Here is a 5,508-nt window from a genome sequence, read left to right on the forward strand (position 1 = left end):
TCATATGTGCCTATCTGCAGAGGTGTGGAGTTTTCTTTCAAGTTTTATGTTTGTTCTCTCTCTCTCTCTCTCTCTCTCCATATTTCTTTTTCTTTTTCTCTTTCCACTATCAAAAGCCCATCAAATAGTGAAAAGGAAACTTAAAAATCAAATTGTCAAAAATTGTATTTATCAGCCTTCAGTTTCCTTATTTGTTTGATTCTTTTAAGAACAAGAGAAGTGAGTATCCAAAGATTTTCCAGCCCATAGGCTTTTACAAATGCCATTGTCTTTAAAACAAAAAGATGGGGAAAATCTAACAGTGCAACAACAAATAAACTAATGTAACACTCCATTTTTGTTTAAGGGCCTTTACTCATTCCTCAACACAGGCTAGGATAATTTTAGAACACAGAGATAAAATGCAAAAACAGCAATCATATAGTTTTTGAAACTAACTCTGGGATTAAAGAAGAAGTATGTTAACAACTAAAAATGTTTTGTTGAGTTAATAGGAGCATCATGAACTGACTAAAGACAAAGGTGTTCCCAACCTCCTTGGACCCTCTCTGGTGCCCAGATGTCTGAGATCATCAGTCACCTCCTGATCCCAACCCGCTCTTTTCCCCCTGTCCTTAACAGAAAAAGAGCCTGAAATTTGTACCAACTTGAGATGCTAGTCCACCATATTCTCAGTTTGTTGCCTCTGCGACTAAACCTGCTTTTCCTCCCACCAACCCTCATGTCTCAAGTTTTGGCTTTTGAGAGGAGAGCAGCTGGATTGCTGTTGATCCATGTCATGTAATTGTTACCAAACCCCAGGGGTTTGGTCCAAATCCCATTGCTTACCACACAGAAAACCAGTCACCGAAACAATGAGCATCACCAGGAAAGAAAAAAAGAAAACACTTTATTTTATGAGTAACATCTGCCAGAGAGATTGGAGCCAAATCTCAAATCCGTTTCTCCTCTCTGACAAAAGTTAGGGGTTTACACAACGGAGAAGGAAGAAAGAGAGGCAGGGAAGTGGAGTTGGTTAACAAGCAGCAGGTGGTCAGATAAGGACTCTAGTATTTCACTGTAACCACAGGCAGAAAAATAGAAACTAGAGAGAGATAAGGTAAGGAAGGGGAATTGGTCAATAGGCAGCAGATGTGTCTTATTGCCCAGGTGTGGGGATCCCAGTAGCCTCATCTCCCTAATATCATCTGGGAGGCCTGAAAGTCGATTTTCTAAGAAAGGATGTAAGTTTAAAATTGGGCCAGTTTCATCCTGGTTTCTGATCTTCAGTTCTCCAAGCAAAGAATTATCTTATTTGGAAAGTTGATTTTGTACCCTAGGTAAGTCCCTTTAGTTTGGGCGCTCAGAGGCTTTCAATATGCTTTTCTCTGTGATGTGGTTATCTGATCCTGACCCAGAGACCTGTTGTTTTAAATTTTTTCATTTGTATACTTTAAAAATTTTTCATTTTTAATTTTTGGTGTACATGGTAGATATGTGCATTTATGGGGTACATGACATATTTTGAACGGGAATACAGTGCATAATAATCACATAATGAAAAACAGGGTATCCATCACCTCAAACACTTACCATTTCTTTGTCTTACGAACACTGCAATTATACTTTCAGTTATTTTTAAATGTACAATAAATTATTATTGACTGTAAGCACCCCATTGTACCAGACCTTATTCATTCTATGTATTTTTTTTAACCTATTAACCATCCCCATTCCCATACCAACTACCATTCCCAGACCTTGGTAATCATCATTCTTTTTTCTTATTATTATACTTTAAGTCCTGGGATATATGTGCAGAACATGCAGGTTTGTTACATAGGTATACACGTGCCATGGTGCTCTGCTGCACCCATCAACCTGTCATCTACATTAGATATTTCTGGTAATGCTATCCCTCCCCTAGTCCACCACCCCCCGACAGGCCCTAGTGTGTGATGTTCCCCTCCCTGTGTCCATGTGTTCTCATTGTTCAACTTCCACTGCTGAGTGAGAACATGTGGTGTTTGGTTTTCTTTGCCTGTGTCAGTTTGCTGAGAATGATGGTTTCCAGCTTCATCCATGTCCCAGCAAAGGACATGAACTTATCCTTTTTTTATGGCTGTATAGTATTCCATGGTATATATGTGCCACATTTTCTTTATCCAGCCTATCATTGATGGGCATTTGAGTTGGTTCCAAGTCTTTGCTGTCATTAATAGTGCTGCAATAAACATGCGTGTGCCTGTGTCTTTATAGTAGAATGGTTTATAATCCTTTGGGTATATACCCAGTAATGAGATTGCTGGGTCAAATGGTATTTCTGGTTCTAGATCCTTGAGGAATTGCCACACTGTTTCCACAATGATTGAACTAATTTACACTCCCACCAACAGTGTAAAAGTGTTCCTATTTCTCCACATCATCTCCAACATCTGTTGTTTTCTTTTTAAATGATCGCCATTCTAACTGGCATGAGATGATATCTCCTTGGGTTTTTATTTGCATTTCTCTAATTATCGGTGATGATGAGCTTTTTTTCATGTTTGTTAGCCACATAAATGTCTTCTTTAGAGAAGTGTCTGTTCATATCCTTCGCCCACTTTTTGATGGGGTTGTTTTTTCTTGTAAATTTGTTTAAGTCCCTTGTAGATTCTGGATATTAGCCCTTTGTCAAATGGATAGATTGCAAACATTTTCTCCCATTTTGTAGGTTGCTTGTTCACTCTGATGATAGTTTCTTTTGCTGTGCAGAAGCTCTTTAGTTTAATTAGATCCCTTTTGTCAATTTTGGCTTTTGTTGCCATTTCTTTTGGTGTTTTAGTCATGAAGTGTTTGCCCATGCCTATGTCCTGAATGGTACTGCCTAGGTTTTCTTCTAGGGTTTTTATAGTTTTAGGTCTTATGTTTAAGTTTTTAATCCATCTTGAGTTAAACTTTGTATAAGGTGTAAGGAAGGGGTCCAGTTTCAGTTTTCTGCATATGGCTAGTCAGTTTTCCCAACATCATTTTTTAAATAGGGAAGCCTTTCCCCATTGTTTGTTTTTGTCAGGTTTGTCAAAGATCAGATGGTTGCAGATGTATGGCATTATTTCTGAGGCCTCTGTTCTATTCCATTGGTCTGTAGATCTGTTTTGGTACCAATACCATGCTGTTTTGGTATCAGTACCATGCTGTTTTGGTTACTGTAGACTTGTAGTATAGTTTGAAGTCAGGTAGTGTGATTCCTCCAGCTTTGTTCTTTTTGCTTAGGATTGTCTTGGCTATACGGGCACTTTTTTGGTTCCATATGAAATTTAAAGTATTTTTTTCTAATTCTGTGAAGAAAGTCATAATGGTAGCTTGATGGGGATAGCATTGAATCTATAAATTACTTTGGGCAGTATGACCATTTTCATGATATTGATTCTTCTTATCCATGAGCATGGAATTTTTTTCCATTTGTTTGTGCCCTTTCTTATTTCCCTGAGCAATGGTTTGTAATTCTCCTTGAAGAGGTCCTTCACATCCCTTATAAGTTGTATTCCTAGGTATTTTATTCTCTTTGTAGCAATTGTGAATGGGAGTTCATCCATGATTTGGCTGTTTGTCTGTTATTGGTGTGCAGGAATGCTTGTGATTTTTGCACATTGATTTTGTATCCTGAGACTGAAGTTGCTTATCAGCTTAAGGAGATTTTGGGCTGAGACTATGGTATTTCTAAATATACAATCAAGTCATCTGCAAACAGAGACGATTTTGAGAGGTGAAGCTGGCTGGGCTTCTGGGTCGGGTGGGGACTTGGAGAACTTTTCTGTCTAGCTAAAGGATTGTAAATAAACCAATCAGCGCTCTGCGTCTAGCTAAAGGTTTGTAAACACACCAATCAGCACTCTGTGTCTAGCTAATTGGGTGGGGACCTGGAGAACTTTTCGAACTAAAGGGTTGTAAATGCACCAATCAGTGCTCTGTATCTAGCTAAAGATTTGTAAACGCACCAATCAGCACTCTGTAAAATGGACGAATCAGCACTCTGTAAAATGGACCAATCAGCAGGATGTGGGCGGGGCCAAATAAGGGAATAAACGCTGTTGGAAGAGCCAGCAGCAGCAACCGGCTTGGGTCCCCTTTCACACTGTGGAAGCTTTGTTCTTTCGCTCTTCGCAGTAAATCTTGCTGCTGCTCACTCTTTGGGTCTGCACTGGCTTTATGAGCTTAACACTCACCACGAAGGTCTGCAGCTTCACTCCTGAAGCCAGCAAGACCACAAATCCACCGGGAGGAATGAACAATTCCAGATGCACCACCTTTAAGAGCTGTAACACTCACTGTGAAGGTCTGCAGCTTTGCTCCTGAAGCCAGCGAGACCACAAACCCACTGGAAGGAATGAACAACTCCAGGCGCGCCGCCTTTAAGAGCTGTAACCCTCACTGCAAAGGTCTGCAGCTTCACTCCTGAAGTTGGTGAGACCACAAACCCACCAGAAGGAATAAACTCCGGACACATCTGAACATCTGAAGGAACAAACTCTGGACACACCATCTTTAAGAACTGTAACACTCACTGCGAGGGTCCGCAGTTTCATTCTTGAAGTCAGCAAGACCAAGAACCCACCGGAAGGAACCAATTCTGGACACAATTTTACTTCCTCTCTTCCTATTTGAATACCCTTTATTTCTTTCTTTTGCCTGATTGCCCTGGCCAGAACCTCCAATACTATGTTGAATAGAAGTGATGAGAGAGGGCATCCTTGTCTTGTGCCAGTTTTCAAAGGGAATGCTTCCAGCTTTTACCCATTCAATATGATACTGGCTGTGGATTTGTCATAAATAGCTCTTATTATTTTGAGATACGTTCCATCGATACCTAGTTTATTGAGAGTTTTTAGCATGAAGGAGTGTTGAATTTTATTGAAGGCCTTTTCTGTATCTATTGAGGTAATCATGTGGTTTTTGTCATTGGTTCTGTTTATGTGATGGATTACGTTTATTGATTTATATATGTTGAACCACCCTTGCATCCCAGGAATGAAGCCAACTTGATCGTAGTGTGTAAGTTTTTTGATGTGCTGCTGGATTAGGTTTGCCAGTATTTTATTGAGGATTTTTGCATTGATGTTCATTGGGGATACTGGCCTGAAATTTTCTTCTTATTGTTGTGTTTCTGCCAGGTTTTGGTATCAGGATGATGCTGGCTGCATAAAATGAGTTAGGGAGAAGTCCCTCTTTTTCCATTGTTTGGAATAATTTCAGAAGGAATCGTACCAGCTCCTCTTTGTACCTCTGGTAGAATTTGGCTGTGAAATCATCTGTTCCTGGGCTGTTTTTCTTTGGTAGGCTATTAATTACTGCCTCAATTTCATAACTTATGATTGGTCTATTCAGGGATTTGACTTCTTCCTGGGAGGGTGTATGTGTTCAGGAATTTATCCATTTCTTCTAGATTGTCTAGTTTATTTGCATAGAGGTTTTTCTAGTATTCTCTGATGTTTGTATTTCTGTGGGATCAGTGGTGGGATCATTTTTTATTGTCTATTTGAATCTTCTCTC

The 5,508-nt window shown here is 39.6% G+C and overlaps 1 annotated feature.

Annotated features, from left to right (window-relative positions):
• Positions 506-1,007: an enhancer, noted in NCBI's record as "NANOG hESC enhancer chr8:138749730-138750231 (GRCh37/hg19 assembly coordinates)". NCBI's record gives its function as "activates a minimal SCP1, AML or CMV promoter by ChIP-STARR-seq in naive H9 embryonic stem cells {active_cell/tissue: H9 hESC(naive)}" and the evidence as "EXISTENCE:reporter gene assay evidence [ECO:0000049][PMID:30033119]".

This window comes from Homo sapiens, chromosome 8, assembly GCF_000001405.40.
Source record: "Homo sapiens chromosome 8, GRCh38.p14 Primary Assembly".
In the NCBI taxonomy this organism is placed as follows: domain Eukaryota; kingdom Metazoa; phylum Chordata; class Mammalia; order Primates; family Hominidae; genus Homo; species Homo sapiens.